The sequence below is a fragment of the Homo sapiens genome, chromosome 2 (genome assembly GCF_000001405.40).
Source record: "Homo sapiens chromosome 2, GRCh38.p14 Primary Assembly".
In the NCBI taxonomy this organism is placed as follows: Eukaryota; Metazoa; Chordata; class Mammalia; order Primates; family Hominidae; genus Homo; species Homo sapiens.
The window spans coordinates 22,208,836-22,230,175 of record NC_000002.12 but is presented as its reverse complement, the minus strand read 5'-3'; the positions used below and the strand labels follow the sequence as shown (position 1 = coordinate 22,230,175).

Genomic DNA, 21,340 nt, shown 5'->3' with positions numbered 1-21,340 from the left:
CTCATGCCTGTAATCCCAGCACTTTGGGAGGCAGGGGTGGGTGGATTGCCTGAAGTCAGGAGTTCAAGACCAGCCTGGCCAACATGGTGAAACCCCGTCTCTACTAAAAATACAAAAATGAGCTGGGCACGATGGCAGGTGCCTGTAATCCCAACTACTTGAGAGGCTAAGGCAAGAGAATGGCTTGAACCAGGGAGGCAGAGGTTGCAATGAGCCAAGATTGCGCCACTGCACTCCAGCCTGGGTGCCTGAGCAGGACTCTGTCTCAAGAAAAAAAAATTAAAAAATAAAAATCAGTAGACAAGCAGCCACTGAAGGGGGAGAACAAGTTTGGAGATAACAAAGAGTGCCATCCCCAAACAGTGGTACTTAACCAACCCATCCTGTGGTTTCCTGGAAACCTCCACCGACAGGGATTTTCTGTTATTGTCCTGACTCAAAACTTGCTCATTTTGGGCAGTTGGTCAACAATTGTTTAACATCCCAGCTTCCTGAAGCAGTTGAAACAAATGGGACAATTAAAAACTAAGCAAAAAACAAATTAATGAAAATTTTGGAATATGAAATGTCCATAGGAAGCTTTGTAAATCTTTGATCTGCTCCTGGGAATCTAGAAGACCACCTGCATCTTCAGGAATGTGTGTGTACCCAGAAAAAGACTTAAAAGACCCTAATTTCTCAGCTGTGGCTGATCTTGAGATTCTGTACCAACCAGAAATAAATGCTAAGACAGAGCTGTAAACACTCTGAATGCATAAAAACACACTCCAGTACACAAATAGAACCCCATCAGCAAAAGCTAGAGGACTTATAAGTTCAAGGTATTTATGAAAATCTTTGTCCAGTCTCTTCTTGACTAGTAAACTGAGCAGAAACTTAATTGGTCACACATAATGAAGATTAGTGATTTTACAGAATTAGTTTTGAAAACTCAATAAACAAACCAAAAACTACAAACGAAAAAAATCTTTTTTAAAATTTTTTTAAAGATGGAGTCTTGGACAGGCTGGAGTGCAGTGGCACAATCTTGGCTCACTGCAGCCTCTGCCCCCTGGTTTCCAGCGATTCTCCTGCCTCAGCCTAATGGGGAGCTGGGATTACAGGCACACGCCACCATGCCCAGCTAATTTTTGTATTTTCAGTACAGACAGGGTTTCACTATGTCTATTCTGTTTTTGTTCAACTTTTTAAGATTTCATATAAATAAGTGAGACACTATTTGTCTTTATTTCACTGACAATGACCTCCCACTTCATCTGTGTTGTTGAAATGGTAAGATTTCCTTTTTTATGGTTAAACAAAACTAACAATAGTAACAACAATAAACGGCAACAATAACAAGCCTTGGTGAGGAGAGGGATCCAATTTGCAAAGTTGCAAAAGTTTATTACTTAAAATGCCCAATTATCTTTTTTTTTTTTTTTTTTTTTTTTTGAGATGGAGTCTCGCTGTGTCGCCCACGCTGGAGTGCAGTGGCGTAGTCTCCGCTCACTGCAAGCTCTGCCTCCCGGGTTCACGCCGTTCTCCTGCCTGTAGTCCCAGCTACTCGGGAGGCTAAAATGCCCAATTTTCAACATAAAATAACAAAAATTAAAAGAAATAAGAAAGTATGGCCCATGCACAGGAAGAAAAATCGTGAATAGAAACTGTCCCTGACAAAACCCATGTTATAGAGTTAATAGAAATTTTAAATCAATTATTTTTTTAAACTTCCAAATAAGCAAATGGAGCATATGTTAAAGTATGAGAAAAATGTCTCACCAAATACAGAATAACAATCAAGCCATAAAATTGATTTTTTTAAAACCACATAAAAATTCTGGAGCAGAATTATCTAATAACCTTAAACAAAAATTTCACTAGAGTGGCTCAATAGCAGATTTGAGACGGCAGAATAAAAAATGAATGATCTTGAATGTATGTTAATTGACATATCTCATTTGAGAAAGAAAAAAGTGAATAAAAATAAACACAGCCTCAGAATCCTGTGAGTCACCGTCAAGTATACCAACATACTTAGAATGGCAGATCCAGAAGTAGAGGAGAATAAAAATCCAAAAGGATATTTGAAGAAATGGTTGAAAACTCCATAGAATTAATTTAAAAACATTAATCTACAGATCCAAGTAGCACAAAAAGCCCTAAGCAGAACACAAAATGTAATCAGCATGCAGACACATCATACTATAACGTCAAAAGACAAGGACAGGCCGGGCGCGGTGGCTCACGCCTGTAATCCCAGCACTTTGGGAGGCTGAGGCAGGCGGATCACGAGGTCAGGAGATCGAGACCATCCTGGCTAACACAGTGAAACCCCGTCTCTACTAAAAATACAAAAAATTAGCTGGGTGTGGTGGCAGGTGCCTGTAGTCCCAGCTTCTCGGGAGGCTGAGGCAGGAGAATGGAGTGAATCCAGGAGGCGGAGCTTGCAGTGAGCCAAGATCGCGCCACTGCACTCCAGCGAGACTCTGTCTCCCCCTCAAAAAAAAAAAAGACGATGACAAATTCAAATCTTCAAATTGGCAAGAGTTAGGCAATCTATTATATATGGGTCATTTTCGGTAAGATTACTAGATTATTTCTCAACAGAAACCCTGGAGACAGGCACTGGGATGGCATATTCAAGGTACTAAAATAAAGAATATTGTCAGCCAAGAATTTAATGTTCAGCAAATCTATTCAACAATGAAGGAAAAATTAAGACATTCCCAGAAAATCAAAATTCAAAGAACTATTCGTTAGCATACCTTCCCCAAAAGAAATGATAAAGGGAATGTTCAGGCTGAAAGAAAGAGACACGAGACAATAACTTGCATGCACAGGAATGAATAGCACCATACAGGTAACTACATCTGTAAATTTAAAGAAAGTATAAGTGCTTTTTTGTTTGCAACACTGTGTGTGTGTTTCTATCTTATTTAAAAGGTGACTGAAAAAAGCAATAACTTAAAAAATTTGTTTCTAAGATTAAAACACAAAGATTTAAGTTGTGTGATGATAAAAGGAAAATGGAATTAAGTAATGATGTTACATAAGAGCAAAGTTTTTGTATACTATTGGAATTAATTTGGCATAAATTTAAATTAGGTTGTTATAATAAAAGATGTTATTTTAATCCCTAGGTTATTTCTAAGAAAATAACACACTAAGGTAAGCAATAACGAAATTAAAATACTACACTGGAAAAAAGAAAACCCTTGAAAGAAGGTGATAACAGAAAAAACAGGATAACAAGGTATAAGATAAACGTAGAAAAATAGCAAAATAGCATCTGTAAATCATACCTTATCAGTAATTATATTAGATCGAAATGGATTAAATGCTCCAAAAAGCAAAGTAGGCAGAATTGATATTTTTAAAAGTATAATTTAATTATGTAGTCTACACAAAACACACTTTAGACTCAAAGACACAAAAGACTGAATGTAAAAGGATAGAAAAACATACACTATACAACTGTAAGTAAAATATAGTTACTATATAAGACAAAAATTGTTGATAGAAACAAAGACAAATATTCAGATAAAAGGGTCAACAAAATATACAACCCATGTGAAATGGACAAATTTCTAGAAAGATACAAGCTGCTCAACCAACCCAAGAAGTAAACAATCTGAATAGACCTATATAAAAATAGATTGAATTAATAGTCAAACATTTTCCACAAGGGGAAACCAAGAATCAGATGATATCATCTGTGAATTCTATCCAACATTTAAAAAGCAACTAATCTCAATCCTTAACAAAGTTTTTCAAAAAATGGAAAATTATGGGGCATTTTCCAACACATCTTATGTAGCCATTATTATGCTACTACTGAAAATAGACAAAGACATCACAAGAATGGAAGAAAAAAACTATAGGCCAATATCTCTTATGATATATACACAAAATTCTCAAGAAAGTAATAAGCTGAATTTAGGAATATACAAAAGTGATTTTGCACTTTGGCCAAGTAGAATTTATCCCAGGAATGCAAGGTTTAACATAAAAAACTATCAATGAAATGTACTGTACTTATAAAGGAAAAAATGACCAATAGATGCAGAAAAAAAATTGATAAAACTTACCCTTTTATGATAAAAGCACTCAAAAAACTAGAAATAAAAGGAAAATGTTTAAAGCTAAGCAAGGGCATCCACACAAATCTCATATCTAACCTTGTAGCTAATGGTGAAAGATTGAAAGCTTTGCCTTGAAATAAAGAATAAGATGATGGCACCCATATTTGGAAAGAAGAACCAAAACTCTCTGTTTGCAGACTGTGAACCTATTTAAAGAAAATCTAAAGAAAACAACAAAAGTCTATTAGAGGTTAAAAAGTTTAGAGAGGTTGTAAGATACAAAAATATATTTTATTTCTATGCACTAGCAGAAAAACATGCCAAAAATGAAATTAAGAAAACAATACCATTTGAAACAGCAGCTTTTATAATAGTAAAATAAATACAATAGGTGGGGCATGGTGGCCCACACCTGTAATCCCAGCACTTAGGAAGACCAAAGTGGGGAGATCATTTGAGGTCAGGAGTTTGAGACCAGCCTGGCCAACATGGTGAATCCCCATCTCTACTAAAGATACAAAAATTAGTTGGGCATGGTGGCGTATGACTGTAATCCCAGCCACTAGGGAGGCTGAGTGGGGAGAATCACTTGAACCCAGGAGGCAGAGGTTGCAGTGAGACAAAACTGTGCCACAGCACTCCAGCCTGGATGACAAGAGTGAAACTCAGTTTCAAAATAAATAAATACAATAATTAGAAGTTAATTTTTAAATGAAATCCAAAACTGTTAAACCAAAAGGCACAAAATGTCATTAAAGGAAATTAAGAACTAAATGAAAAAAAAAGGAAACCCATCTTCATGAATTAAAAGATTTAATATTGTTCAAATAATAATGCTCCCCAAATTAATCTGCAGACTCAATTTAAACTGCATCAAAATATCAAATACCTTCTTTTTGCAAAAACTGACAAACTGTTCCTAATATTCGCATGGAAATTCAAGGAACACAGAATTGTGAAAATAAATTTAAGAAAGAAGAGCAAAGGTAGAATACTTGTGTGTGTATGTGTTGATGGGAGGTGTGATGAAGACATTTTGGAATTAGTGCACATGTTTGTGCATGAATATACCAAAACCATCTGAATTGTACACTTCAAAAGGGTAAATATTTTGGAATATGTATTTGTTTCCTAGAGGTGCCATAACCAATTGTATTAGTCTGTTTTCACACTGATGATAAAGACACACCTTAGAGTGGGCAATTTATAAGAGAAAGGGTACACTTACAGTTCTATGTGGCTAGGGAAGCCTCGCAATCATGGCAGAAGGCAAGAAGGAGTAAGTCACATCTTACATGGATGGCAGGAGGCCAAAATAGAGCTTGTGCAGGGAAACTCCCATTTTTAAAACCATCAGATCTCATGAGACTCATTCACTATCACAAGAACAACACAGGAAAGACCCGCCCCCATAATTCAATCACCAGGGTCCTCCCATGACATGTGGGAATTGTGGGAGTTACAATTCAAGGTGAGATTTGGGCAGGGGGGACACAGCCAAACCATATCATTCTGCCTCAGCGCCTCCCAAATCTCATGTTCTTGCATTTCAAAACAAATCATGCCTTCCCAATAGTCCCCAAAAGTCTTAGCTCATTTCAGCATTAACTCAACAGTCCACAGTGCAATGTCTCATCTGAGACAAGGCAAGTCCCTTTCTCCTATGAGCCTGTAAAATCAAAAGCAAGTTAGTTACCTCCTAGATACACTGGGGGTATGGGCATTGAGTAAATACAGCAATTCCAAATGGGAGAAATTGGCCAAAACAAAGGGGCTATAGGCCCCACAAATGTCCAAAATCCAGCAGGCAGTCAAATCTTAAAGCTCCAAAATGATCTCCTTTGACTCTATGTCTCACATCCAGGTCATGCTTATGCAAGAGGTGAGTTCCCATGATCTTGGATAGTTCTGCCCCTGTGGCTTTGCAGGGTGCAGCCTCCCACCCAGTTGCTTTCATGGGCTGGTGTTGAGTATCTGCAGCTTTTCCAGATAAATGGTGCAAGCTGTCAGTGGATCTACAATTCTGGGGTCTGGAGGACAGTGGCCCTCTTCTCACAGTTCCACTAGGTGGTGCCCCAGTAGGGACTCTGTGTGGGGGCTCCAACCCCACATTTCCCTCCTAGCAGAGGTTCTCCATGAGGGCCCCACCCTTGAAGCAAACTTCTTCCTGGGCATGTAGGTGTTTCCATACATCTTCTGAAATCTAGGCAGAGGTTCCCAAACCCCAATTCTTCTGTGGACTCACAGGCTCAACACAACGTGTGGAAGCTGCCAAGGCTTGGGGCTTACACCCTCTGAAGCCATGGCCTGAGCTCTATGTTGGCCCCTTTCAGCCACAACTGGAGCAGCTGGGACATAGGGCACCAAGTCCCTAGGCTGCACACAGCATGGGGACTCTGGGCCTGGCCTACAAAACTATTTTTTCCTCCTGTGTCCCTGGGCCTGTGATGGGAGGGGCTGCTATGAGACATCTGACATGCCCTGGGGACATTTTCCCCATTGTCTTGGGGATTAACATTTGGCTCCTCATTAGTAATGCAAATTTCTGCAGCTGGCTTGAATTTCTCCTTAGAAAATGAGATTTTCTTTTTTATCACGTTTTCAGGCTACAAATTTTTCAAATTTTTATGCTCTGCTTCCCTTTTAAAACTGAATGTCTTTAACAACGCCCAAGTCACTTCTTGAATGCTTTGCTATTTATACATTTCTTCACCAGATCCCCTAAATTACCTCTCACAAGTTCAAAGTTCCACAAATCTCTAAGGCAGGGGCAAATGCCACCAGTCTCTTTGCTAAAACGTAAGAGTCACCTTTGTTCCAGTTCTCAACAAGTTCCAGATCTCCATCTAGGACCTCCTCAGTCTGGGCTTTATAGTTCATATCACTCTCATCATTTTTGTCAAAGCCATTCAACAAGTCTCTAGGAAGTTCCAAACTTTCCTACATTTTCCTGTCTTCTGAGCCCTCCAAACCGTTCCAACCTTTTCCTGTTATCCAGTTCCAAAATTGCTTCCACATTTTTGGGTATCTTTCCAACAGCACCCAACTCTCAGTACCAATTTATTGTATTAGTGCATTTTCACACTGCTGATAAAGACATATCCGAGACTGGTAATTTGCAAGAGAAAAACGTTTCATGGACTTACAGTTTCACGTGGCTGGGGAAGCCTCACAATCATGGTGGAAGGCAAGGAGGAGCAAGTCACATCTTATATGAATGGCAACAGGCAAAAAGAGAGCTTGTGTAGGGAAACTCCCATTTTTAAAACCATCAGATCTTGTGAGACTCATTATCACAAGAACAGCATAGGAAAGACCTGCCCCCATAATTCAATCACCTCCCATTTGGTTTCTCCCTTGACATGTGGGAATTGTGGGAGTTAGAATTCAAGATGATTTTTGGGTGAGGACACAGCCAAACCATATCATGACTTAATACAACTTGGTGGCTTAAAACAACAGAAATTTATTTTCTCACAGTTCTTAAATCCAGAAATTCAAAACCAAAAGTTAGAGTGCACCATAATCTAGAATAGTTTATCATGAGATTCTTACCTAAATCTGTAAATATCCTATTTCCAAATAAAGTTACATCCTGAGATTCTGGATGAACATGAATTTTGAGGAGATGTTATTCAACTCACTCTAAGTTGCCCTCTGTCTTCCTAAATTCTTTACTTTTCTATGTGCAAGCCACATTCACCCTGTCTCAATATCCTGAATAGTCTTAACTAATTCCAGCATCAACTCTAACTCCTAAATCTGATATAACATCATCTGCTAACTAATTTCCAAATCTCATTGTCTAATTCATCTGAATCAGGTATTGGTTCCACTTTGTGTATGATCCATCTTGGGACAAAATCCCTCTCTATCTCCAGTTCTTAAAATTAGAAAACAACTTTTCTGCTTCCAAAATACAATGGTTGGATGGTTATATGATAGACATTTCCACTCCAAAAGGGAGATATTGGAAGTAGTAAGGGTCACTGGTTCCAAGCAAGACTGAAACCTAACAGAGCAAATTTTATTATGTTTCAGAGCCTGAAAATAATCCTCTGTGGCTTAATGCTCTTTCCTCTGAATCTGTGGTGGTGGCAGCCTCATTCTCTGAGCCCAAGGCTTTATCTTTGTAATCAGGTCTCCTTTTCAAGAAAAAGGAGACCTGATTCCAAATATATGTGGCAGCTGAGTAGTTCTATCAGCCTGCTTTCTACCTATAGAATTTTGAAAGTCTAATTACCTTCATTTGTTATTTTAGCTCTGTCTCTGTCAGTCCAGGTGCACCTTGTGTTCCCGCTTCCCCCAGGATAATGTTCTCAATAACCGATCCTCATGTATATGTTAAGAAGACAAACACAATTCAACAAAATGGTTTTCCAGTGATCCTTTCTGAATAATCCCATCTGTATTTCTGCTTTCTGCTAAAATGGTTGATTGGATCCATGAGTGATACAACTAATCTTTCAACAAAAAGCTGTTGCTATGGTTTGGGTGTGTCTTCCAAAAGTTCATGTGTTGAAAAGATAATGGTCTTTATAGTAGTATTAAGAGAGATGGTTCCTTTAAGAGGTGATTAGGCCATGAGGGTTCCACTCTCAGGAAAGGATTGATGCCTTTGTCTCAGAAGGGGGTTAATTATTGCAGGAGTAGACTCTCTACAAAAAGAATATTTCAGGTCCCATTTTGCTTTTTCTGTTTAGCATGCAAGCTTCTGCCTTTTTCCTTCTGCCATAGGATGACCCTCACCAGATGCTGGTACCGTGCTCCTGAGCTTCCCAGCCTTCAGAGTTATAAGCCAAATAAAGTTCTGTTGTTTATAACTTACCCAGTCTGTGGTATTCTGTTATAGCAGCAGAAAACAGACTAAGACAGCTGTCCAGCCACATTCTTGGCATTCTCCCCAGAGTATGCTTTCTCAACAGTACATTTCCTAATTTAGCATCCTTTGAAATCTGGATAGACCAAGGAACTCACAAGTCTCAAATTGATGGTTCCTTTTTGCTTAACAGTTCCTTCCTCAATTTATCTCTTCCTTTTCACATTTTACTCTAAACAGAAAGGAGAAATCAGACCACACCTTGCTTGGAAATCTCCTCAGCTATATATACAATTGTATCACTTACAAGTTCTGCTTTCCACCCAACTGTACAATGTAATTAAGCCAAGTTTTCTCTCACTTTATAACAAGAATCTCCTTTCCTCCAGTGTCCAATAACATGTTTCTCATTTCTGTCTGACCTCACCAGAAATACCTTTAACCTTTATATTTCTATGATTTTGTTTACAATGATATGTGTTTTCTCTAAGACAACAGCTTTCCCTACCATACTCCTCATTCCCATCTGAGCCTTCACCAGTACTGCCTATATTATCTATAGTTTTGTCAACATTCTCTTCAATGCAATCTAGGCTCTTTTCATCATGCATCCAAAAATGCTTCCACTTTCTATCTATTTCCCAATCCCAAAGCCACTTACATATTTGTGGGTATTTGTTATAGCAGCAACCCATTTCCCAGTACTAAAATATGTATTAGATTTTTTTAGGGTTGCCATAACTTTTTACCACAACTTAGTGGCTTAAGATAACAGAAATTCATTTTCCTACAGTTCTGAAGTCCAGAAGGTCAAAATCATAATGTTGTCAGGGCCTTACTTGCTCTGAAAGTATAGGAGAATCCTTCTTTGCCTCTTTCATCCTATGGTGACTCCTGGTTTTCCATATCTTTTGGCAGCATGACACCAGTCTCTGCTTCCATTTTCATATGGTATCATCACTGTGTGCATCAAACAAACATCCTTCTCCTTTCTGTTAAAAAGGTATCAGTCACTGGACTTAGGACCCACTCTAAATACAGGATAATTTTATCTTCACATATTTATTTAAATACGCAAATGATTATTTCCAAATAAGGTCACATTCTGAGATTCAAGTGGACATGAATTTTGGAGATACACTATTCAACCCACTATCTTATATGAATTATATCTCAATTTTAAAAACTGATATTAAGAACAAAAAAATAAGATGCTTAGTTCAGATACTATAATTACACTGAAACCTTTAATTATCCCACATTAGGAGGCAAATTTTATTAAATTTTATACTTTCAATGTCTGACACAAACACACAAAAAAGTAAGTGCATTGGGAAAATAATTATCCATTTAATGACTTTATTGGCTAGAGGAAGGAAAAAAAGTACACTGAATCCAATAATCATGGAGCTAATTGTTTTAACCATGCTTCAAACCAATAAGCAATTTAATCATGTTTGAAGGTTTAATATGTTTTCTTTTCAGTGAAGTATTTTAAATTATATGGTCTCCTTCCTGTGGCCAAATTGGCATTATATCAAATTATTATTTGAGTACTATGTGTCAGGCACTGTGTCAAGCATGTGTTAGTTCACTGCCTTGATCTGTTCAGGCTGCTACAACAAAGTACCTCAGAGTGGATAATTTATAAACAATAGGAATGTATTGTTCTGGAAGCTAGTTCTGGATGTTAGGAAGTCTGAGATCAAGGCACTAACAGATTTAGTGTTTGATGAGGGTCCATTGCTCACAGATGGCAACTTCTATGTGCCCTCACATGGCAGAAGGGGTGAACAAGCTCCTTGGGACTCTTTTATAAGGGCACTAATCTAACTGATGAAGACTCTGCTATCATGACCTAATCACCTTCCAAAGACCCCACCTTCTAATATCACCATGGGGATTAGCTTTCAGTATATGAATTTGGGGGGGTGGGGCACAAACATTCATTCTATAAAATTCACTTAGTTCTCACAATTTTATAAAGTACATACTCAAGTAATCTTAATTTTATGAAAAATAAAAACTCTGAGACTTTGAGAAGCCACACCACTCTCTCCTATTCATATAACTATTAAATGAGTTTTGAATTTATTTACCACTGACATGGATTTCAATTCAATGCATCTTTCTTGCTCATCCACAATGATGTAAGTCTCTATCTGATTGAAGAGTAATTAATTTTTCTAAAGGAAAGCTGCTCTTTCTGGTGATACATATTCCTCTTTTAACATGACAAATTTCAGGATCTAATGGTATTATTGAATTGCCATTTGGTTATGCTTTTCACATTTCAATTCACATTTTAATGCATTTTCATTTGATTCCCACAGCAACACTGAAACAAGGTTTAATAGGAATTATTATCCCCATATTATAAATGAAGAAAAAAAAAAGGTTTATATAGAGGTTATTCAGCTAGCCCATGGGCTTACATTTACTATAAAGCTTACTCAATTGGCTCCAAGGCCAGCTGTATAATCCACAGTATTATGTCTCTCTAAGTTTCTAATGTTTCATTAAAGCCTTGAATAATTCATACAAGTAAACTTTATTAATAGTGATTGCTCCTCTCTGTCAGATAAAGAAACACTACAAAGTTCTCTATTTTTATCTCACATAAATTGTTCAACTCTGGGCTATCCTCACAAATTTCATTGTCCATCATTACAATGTTGCCCCAGATCTCAGGGGAGAGAAACTTTCCATTCCTTCAATAACCTAAGGGTAGAAGGCACTAGAGGATACATTGCCCGAACAATTAGAAATGGAGACCTAAGACATTCTGATTGAACACACACTAAAAGGGGGTGACAGACTTAATGTGTTAGGAAAACTGAGACAAGAATTGAATTTATTTCCATGCCATTCTCTTCCAGCTCTAAATAGAGTCAAAGCTAAGACATCAGTGTTGGCAGTAAGAAAGAAGAGATGAGCTAGCATGTACAATTAGGGAGGAGAAGGAAATTCTTGTAAGCATAAAATTTACAACTCTAAGGGGTTCAATGGAGCTCCCTTGGGCAATTAATACAGGTTCCACACAAACATGCACTGGCAGATAAATGGTTCTGTACCCAAACTTTCCTGAGAGAGATGGATAATTTTAGAAACTTTGGCTGATCTGGGAGTAGGGGCACCTCGGACAGATTGACTGAATGGGAAATATGAATTGCAAAGACATAATGTCAGAGCAGAATGAGTAGTTAAAAATGCATAGTTTAAAAGACTCTCAGAGAAGATGGCCTTTTACTAATGGGGGATTGTAACTAGAGCTGAGGGTTCTGAAATGTTTACCTTGAAAGTAAGACTGGCAAAGTCCCTGTGATGTCAAGGAGTTTAGAGCAAAGCCTTAAAACTTCCTGGCTGTGAGTCTACAACAGCCTACCATTTTATTGTGAAATATCCCTTTGGTTTTACTAATAAAAATTAATGAGTTTCCAAAGTTTCCTTTTCAGTCCGTAAGTGCTTAATTGCCTGGAGCTGAGCTGTTCCTCAGGGCTCCACCCACTGGAGGGTAGAGCCGTTTTTTTCCTCCAATCATTATAGAAAACCTGTCTAAATTTCCTTTATGCACATAGAATATTTGAGCAAATTTTAATTCTTAATATATTCTCTTTAAAGTATTAAAATGATCTCAAAATATGTGAATTTGGCTTAAAAATGATCAGACTCAAAACTCTATAAGCTATATTCATGATTGTAATTTTTACTAAAAGAGAACCTTTATGTTGATTTTTATAACTTCTCAAAAATCTTGCCATACATTTTTGAAATACTTGAAGTAATGTATAGATTGAGCGGATTGATCATCCGCTAAACTGTTCTCAGCTAGATGCTGAAAACCTGGGGAGCAATCAAGTTTCTATTAAGTAAATAAATGAATTAAGCAAGAACACATTTAGTATATCAAGATTTGCAAAGATCTGGCTTTCAGGAAGGCTTTAGATTTTGTTAATGCATTCAGGACACCAAGCACTACATCATCAGGAGAAAACACTGTGTTTGATTTTCATAAGACATATTATTAAGAAATTTTTGGTGCTTAAGGTCATAGTTAGGCACACATAGTATACACTTAATGGATTTCTCAATAGTCCTGAAGGTCAGGTGGAATTAGCCACATGTTGCTGCTAAGGAAACTTAAGCTCAGAGAGAGTGAAATAAGTCCTCAAGTTTCTACAGCTAGAAAGTAGCTGAGCCTGTATTGACCTCCAGTTCTCCACTCCGTGGTAATCTAAAGCCTAGACTCTTTCCAGAAGGTCCGGGTATTTCTCCCTGAATTAACATTTTATGAGGCTTGGAGAAAAATCTTGTTATTTGAGTTTCTACATTTTGGATTTCAGGATAAATGTTTTACCATATCAGAGCTGAATTCCCACTTGTGTTATCATCCCTGTAGCCTTTTCACAAAACAATGAACTGGACATACTATCCCACACCCTTTTGCTCACATTTGTATTCTAGTAGCAGAATGAATCCATGTTCAGTCTCCTTGTAAACATAACAAAACTGCCCTTTCACTTGGACAGTGCTTCAGAACAAGTGATTTTTTTTTTTTTTTTTTTTTTTGTGACAGAGTTTATGATTTTGGTCTGGTGAATGAATAAAATTGAAGACTTAGAAGATTTGGCTGTTCTTATGTCCTAAATGTAAAATGTTTCTAAAGCCAGTGTTCCTGCCTCACAAATGATAGGCGAAGTGTGCAGCACTGTGATACCAAAGCTTAATGTGGCCAGGCCTTGAACTTTCTGTCTCCATCTGACTTTCTAACATTTAGCGGCTAGAATACAAAACGGTCTGCTGCGGCTCTGCCTCCTAGGTGTCGGAAAGAGCAAATGCTGAAGGACTTTCAACTCAATGGGCTTCACACAAACTGTACCCCAGAGAGAAAATCTAAGCAGTGCTTCAGGCAGGTGCATGATGTGGTTCAGAGGCAGAAAACATTTGACTCATGAGCAGGAGGCGCTAAAATAGAGCTTTGGGAAGAAAGAGGGGATCAAGCAATGATGGGAGCAATATTGCCTCTGAGTTCCAACATTTGCACTGCTTCAGTGGCCATCTCTTTCCCAGGGCTTAGGGTTCAGCAAATAGCAGAGAGATCAGGTGAGGCAGAGGGTGCAATATAAGCACACTAACTCCAAACAACCTGAAGATGGGAGGGGCATTACTCCTTCCAAGCAGAAAAGGAAGGATACTTGCATCCCCCAAAAAGAAGAAATTTCCAGGAACCTGTGATTAGCTCAAAGGGCAAAAAGGCATTATATCCACAAGGGTTTTCTAATTTCCTTGCAGAGCAGAAAAATAAGTTGTTGTTTGTGTTCCTCCCGTTCTCCCTTTTCCCCCTCTCCTGCTCCTCTTCTTCTCCCTTCTTTTTTTTATTTTTATTTTTTGCTTTATAACAGGCTTGGCAGAATTTGTAACAGTTTTTTAAACACATCCTGCAGGTAAAATTTAATTTGTATGTTACTCTCTAACAAGATGATTTGGTTTTACAGTGATTGATGAGACTAGGACTGTCTTCATGGTTTTGGGGAGAATGCTCTGGATTCAGGAACAGCCTGATGGTTTGTATTTGCTCACCAGAGGGCGTAGCCCTCTTTTTAAGGGCAAAACTCTTTAATGTGAATACTCTGTAGTCAGAAATTTCATAATGAAGACTCTGACTTGAACCTATGGATTTAAAAGGCAGTCAGTAGGGGACCTATAACAATGAAAACAGAACTCCATTAACGTCAACAGAAATTTAGGTGTACTAAGCACTTTGCTTAGCTTGCAGGTAGTAGCTGCCTATCCAAAAGTGGATTTTACATGGGATGACCTTTGTGTGTGTGTGTGTGTGTGTTTGAGATGGAGTGTTGCTCGCCACCTCCAAGGTTCAAGCGATTCTCCTGCCTCAGCCTCCCAAGTACCTGGGATTACAGGCATGTGCCACCACACCTGGCTAATTTTTTTTGTATTTTTTTAGTAGAGATGGGGTTTCACCATGTTGGCCAGGCTGTTCTAGAACCCCTGACCGCAGGTGATCCACCCACCTCAGCCTCCCAAAGTGTTAGGAGCCACCATGCCTGGCCGGGGATGACCTTTGTAGAATATTTCTTCTATATGTATTTATTTTATTTGATTTGGAAATATTGGTCACATTAGTCTCTAAAACACAACTCCTTTAAGAAATAGTCTGATTTGGCAGAATAAGCTGTGAGACCACTGTGATCTTTGTTCATTATTGATCTTTCTTAATATAGATCTTGCCAAAGATTGTGCATCCAATGGGTTAACATTGCTTGCGGTATTGATTCTTTCATCCCCTGTGGAGGCTAGAACAGGCCTAGAGGCAGCCAAAGCCCATGGGCTAGTCACCTCTAACCTCAAACAGCCTCATCAAATTACCACAGTGTACTGTGCAAATATTATCATATTTGGTATGTACCAATACTGTTAAGCTCTGTGATACCTTGTAAATTCTAGACTAGTCATTTTGAAGTCAATAGACCCGCCAAAAAATAACAAAGAAAACAGTGATGAGAACATTTCTTCTATACCTAATTTGTATGCATTTTTATCATAAAGGACGATGAATTTTGTCAATTGCTTTTTCTGCATCTATTGAGATGATCATATGATTTTTGTCCTTTATTCTGTTAATACAGTGTTTCCCATTTATAGATTTGTTTATGTTGAGCCATCTTTACATCCATAGAATAAATCTTAATTGATCATGGTGAATGATCCTTTTAATGCACTCCTGAATTCAGTTTGCTAGTATCTTGTTGAGGATTTTTGTATCTATGTTCATCAGTGCCTGTGGTTTTCTTTTTGTATAGTGTTCTTGTCTGGCTCTGGAATCAGGGTACAACTCTGGCCATGTAAAATGAGTTTGGAAGTATTCCATCGTCTTCAGTTTTTTTGAAGGAGTTTAAGTATTAGCCCTTTTAAACATATTTGGTAGAATTCAACAGTGGAGCCATCTGGTCCTGGGCTTTTTTTTTTTTTTTTTGATGGGAGACTTTCAGTTACTGATTCAACCTCCTTACTCGTCATTAGTCTGTTTAGATTTTCTAAAAGTCTTCATAGTTTGTATGTGTCTAGGGATTAACATATTTTTTACAGGATATTTCACATTTTGCGTATAATTGTGGATACTTGTCTCATGTTTGCATTTCTGTGGTATGACTTGTTCCCTCTTTCATTTATTATTTTATTTGAGTCTTTTTTTTCCTTTTCTCTGTTAGTCTACATAAAGCTTTTCAATTTTATTTATCTTTGCAAAAAGCCAAATAATTAGTTTCCTGGGTCTTTTCTGCTTTTTCTAGTCTCTATATCATTTATTTCTGCTCTGATCCCTGTTGTTTCTCTGCTTCCTCTGGGTTTAGTTTGTTCTTCTTTTTCTAGTTTGTTGAAGTGTAACATTATCTTGTCTATTTGAAATCTTTCTTTTTAATTGATAGATAGTATTTGTACATATTAGGTACATGCATTTTTGATACATGCAATGTGTAATAGGGAAATTGGGGTACCATCACCTCAAATATTTATTTTTTTTTGTGATGGGAGTATTCTAAATCTTCTTTTCTATCTATTTTGAACTATACCATAAATTTAGTTAACTATAGTCACCCTACTGTGTTATCAAATGGTAGAACTTATTCCTTCAATTTAACTGTATTTTGTACTCGTTAACCAACTTTGTCCCCTCTGCCCCCTATACTTCTCAGCTGCTGGTGACCACCATTCTTATCTCTACTCCATGCTTCTCATTACCTATATGAGATCAAGTTTTTTTTTTTTTTAGCTCCTACATATGAGTGAGAACATATGCTATTTATCTTTCTGTGCCTGACTTACTTCACTTAACATAATACTCACAGATAACATTATACTAAATGGTGAAAAGTTGAAAGCTTTCCCTCTAAGAGCAAGAGAAGATAAGGATACTTAATCTCATCATTTCTATTCAACACAGTACTGAAAGTCCTAGCTAGAGCAATTGGCCAAGAGGAAGAAATAAAGACATCAAAATCGGGAAGAAAAGAGTTCTGATGCAGACAGCATGATCTTATATATTGAAAACCTTAAAGACTACTGAAAAAAAAAAAAACAAACCTGTTACAAGTAAGAAATGTCCTGAGTAAAGTTACAAAAAATAAAATCAACAAAGAAAAGTCAGGATCATTTCTATACACTAACAATGACTGTCTGAAAAAAATCAAGAAAGCAATGCCATTTACAGTGGCTGCAAAATAAAATAAAATAAAATACTTAGGAATACATTTACCCAAGGAAATAAAAGACTTATACACAAAAAACTATAAAACACTGATGAAAGACATTAAAGAACACAGAAAATAAGTGAAAAAAAAAGTATCCTATGTCCATGGATTGGAAGGGTTAATATTATTAAAATGCCCATTTGAGCGTTATTAAATTGACCAAAGTAATCTACAAATTTAATGCAAACCTATCAGAATTCCAAAATCATTTTATCAGAAATAGAAAAAGCAATCATAAAATTAATATCAAACCACAAATGACCCCAAATAACAAAAACAATCTTGAGCGAAAAGAACAAAGTTGGAGGCATCGCAGTCTCTGATTTCAAAATATCATACAAATCTATAGCAATCAATACAGCATGGCACTGCCATAAAAACAGAAACATACACCAACAACATAACTGATAGCACAGAAACAAGTTTGTGCATTTATCAACAGATTTTTCACAAAGATGCAAAGAATACACAATGGGAAAGGACAATCTCTTCAATAAGTTGTGTTGGGAAAATGGATATTCACATGCAGAAGAATATGAAATACTTATTCCACACCATATACAAAAATCTACTCAAAATGAATTGAAGACTTACATGTAAGACTTGACTTTGTAAAACAATTAGAAGAAAACGTAGGGAGAAAGCTCCATGATTTTCGTCTGGGCAATAATTTTCTTTTAATATCCCTAAAGCATAAGCAACAAGAGCAAAAATTGACAAATGGGATTGAATCACACTAAAAAGCTTCTTCATGGTAAATTACACAACCAATAGAATGAAGCAACAACCTATAGAATGGATGAAAATGTTTGAAAACCATTTTTCTTCCTTTTTAAAAAAATTTGAGACACGATCTGCTCTGTCATCCAGTCTAGAGTACAGTGATACAATCATGGCTCACTGCAGCCTTGAACTCTTAGGCTCCCATCTTGACCTCCCAAAGTGCTGGGATTACAGGAATGAGCTACCACACCTGGCCCAAACCACACACTTGATAAGGGGTTAATACCTAGAGTATATAAGAAATTCACACCACTCATTACCAAAAAAACAAATAACCTGATTTTAAAAATAGGCAAAGGACCTGAATAGACATTTCTCAAAAGAAGACCAACAAGCAGCCAACAGATATATTTTTTAAAATGGTCAACACCACTAATCATCAGGAAAATGCAAATTAAAATTATAATGAGATGTTAACCTCACACCTGTTGGGATGGCTGATATAAACAGGATGAAAAGTGTTGAGGATGATGTGCAGAAAACGAAACCTTTGTACACTGTTGGTGAGAATGTAAGTTATTGAAAACAGCCATTATGGAAAACAGTATGGAGATTCCTCAGAAAACTAAACATAGAACTACCATATAGTCCAGTATCTCACTTTTGGGTATATGTCCAAAAGGAAATAAGTATCATGAAGAGATAGCTGTATTTCCATGTCGTTGCCACATGATATGCGTAGCTGAGATACAGAATCAACCTCTGTCCCACAACAAATGAATGGATAAAGAAAATATGACATATATGCAGTGGAACACTATTCAGCCTTTAAAAAGAAGAAAATATTGTCATTTGTATCAACATGGATGAACCTGGAGGGCGTTATGTTGTATGAAATAAACCATGCACGAGGATTAATACCACATGATCCTACTTATATGTGGAATCTAGAAGAGGTGAACTCATAAAAGCAGAGAATAGAATATTGGTTTCCCAGGGTGGTGGTGGGTCATTGAGGAAATGTTGATCAAATGATAAAAAATTTCAGTTAGATAGGAGGAATAAGTTCAAAAGATTTATTGTACAACATGATAACTGTGGTTAATAACAATAAACTATTTTTTTAATTGTTGAGAGAAGATTATAAATGTTCTTACTACCAAAAATAAGTACGTGAGGTAATGCATACATTAATTAGCTCAATTTAGCCATTCCACAATATTCCAAAACATTATGTATAAAAAATATAAACAGTTCGTATTTTTTCGGTTACAAAAAAATATAGTGACAGGCCTTTCTATTCTTCAGACAGGACCCATACTGGCTTAAAAGGCTAATTTTGTCAAAGTATCTTGAAGCTGTATTTACTTCAGTGTTGATCCACAAGCACTCTCTCAGCCTCCAGATAGAGTTGCTGGCTATGGCTTTGTGAGTAAAAGTAAGTCCATACCCAAAAACAAGCATTACTTTTAATGGCAAAAAACACAATTGCTTTTGTGCCAATCTAATAGGAACTGTTTTACAACCCTGTTTTTTTCCCACAAAATATTATCTGTTCAAGGATTATTGTTATGGATACATACTGATGGCTTATTCATTTTAATTGCTTAAAGTTATACAGCTGAATGTATCTATTTTATTCCATTATTGATGGACAATTAGTCTCTCTAATTTTTCACTGTAATTGACGATGCTGCTATGAATCTCCATGGGTAAATATGATGGAAATCCTTAATAGAAAAAGTTCACACCTGGAGTATGCAACTGTCTTCCTCAGGGGCGTTTGAAAATATATATGTTCAGTTTGTTCATCATGATGGCTGAGGGATGCTGCTGGAAATTGTTACTAGGAGGCAAGGCATCCTTAACATCCTGCAATAAATATCTAAAACATGAAAGAATTAGCCATCCAAAACAACACAACTTTTCTTGTGCATAAACAGCTCTCTAGGTTGTGTGCTAGAAGTGAAATTGTTGAATGAGGTGGATTTAGTTAGTTTGGTGCTTACCTTCCATTTTAAACTTCGCTTGTTTACTTGACCATCTCACAATACCTGGGAAGTTGTATACTCACTTCTGTCTGTAGTTGCAGATGTGTTTTAGATTTCCCAGTTGGATGGTCACGTGGAGATTTGAAAGGAAAAAAAACGAGGTGAAGGCTGGGCTGCTCTGCTAACAAGTAGGCACAGAGACGTTTTCCTTGTTTTATTCTAGCATCAGACAATGTCCGACTTTCCACTGTCCCACCCAAGGGCAGGGTGCAGAGCACATTATTTTGCCTATGAACTAGCTGATGTGTTGCGGCCCTGGGGGTGACATTGTGGTGACAGCATCGTGCCCCTGGGATAACAGCTATCTAGTAGTATATTTCATTGGACCACATCCTGATTCCCCACTGAACTCATTGTGGCAGGGACAGCAGCATCCCTGGTAAGCCAGATAACAGACATTGCCTAGGAGTGATTCTTAAAAGCCCTGCCTAGGGTCTCTTCCTTCATACTCTCTGAAAATGTTATATGCCTCTACATTCATGTTTTGAATTGCTTTCGCTTTCAGATGTCTAGATGTGTTTTCGCAGTATTCAAATGAACCATGGCTGAAGCACTATGTTTTAGGAAATAGATACCTTTGCACTAGGTTTTGTCATATTGCTCTTCCAAATAATTGGACCACCTTATACCACCACGTATATGAGTTTATATTTCCTCACATCCTAACCAACATTTGAAATTGTGATAGTACTACTACTACTTCTCCTCCTCTTCGTCCTCATTATAGTTATTATAACTATTATCTGTCAATTCAATTATTGTTAAATGACACAGTGTTGTATCTATTTGAGAACCTGATTATTAATGATTGAGCAGTTTTACATGTTATTTATTTTCCATTTTTTATAAGTGCCTGATTATCTCCCTAATCTATTGTTCTATTGATTTTTTAAAATATTGATATGTAGAAGTTATCAGTACTCTTGCACCACTGTCTGTCATTGGCTGGAATCAGCCCAAGAGAGGTGTGATCTCAGTACATCTTAGCAATGGATTTCAGCATTCAGCAGCAGAGGTCCTGAGTCAGTTTTCGTCTCTGTGGTCAGAGGACAGTGCACATTCTTATGGCTGCCACACTCCTCCTCTTGCACTGTTCAGATCTACATTTTTACATGGGTGTAGGGAGGAGCTCCTCCATGTGTCTTTTGTGGCCCTCTTATCTGAGTAAAACTCAGAAAAACAAAGTGAATCTGATTAACTAGAGGCTTCATTGCTGCAGATGATCACAGGTCATCACTGACACTCATTCCCTCCCTTCTCCACTCTATATTTCCCTCACCCTCAGCTATCACTTCAGCAGGTCTAGGTGGCTCGTCTGGTGGTGCAACTCACACTTTTATCTCTGAGGGCTCTGAAGCTTTGATAGCCATTCTACTTCCAGGTCTACATTGCTGGACATATCCATGCACAGTTATA

At 37.3% G+C, this 21,340-nt stretch overlaps 1 annotated feature.

The window, feature by feature from the left end:
* Positions 906 to 1,079: a silencer, noted in NCBI's record as "fragment chr2:22451969-22452142 (GRCh37/hg19 assembly coordinates)". NCBI's record gives its function as "represses an EF-1alpha promoter that drives an FKBP-Casp9 reporter gene in an ReSE screen in K562 erythroleukemia cells {active_cell/tissue: K562}" and the evidence as "EXISTENCE:reporter gene assay evidence [ECO:0000049][PMID:32094911]".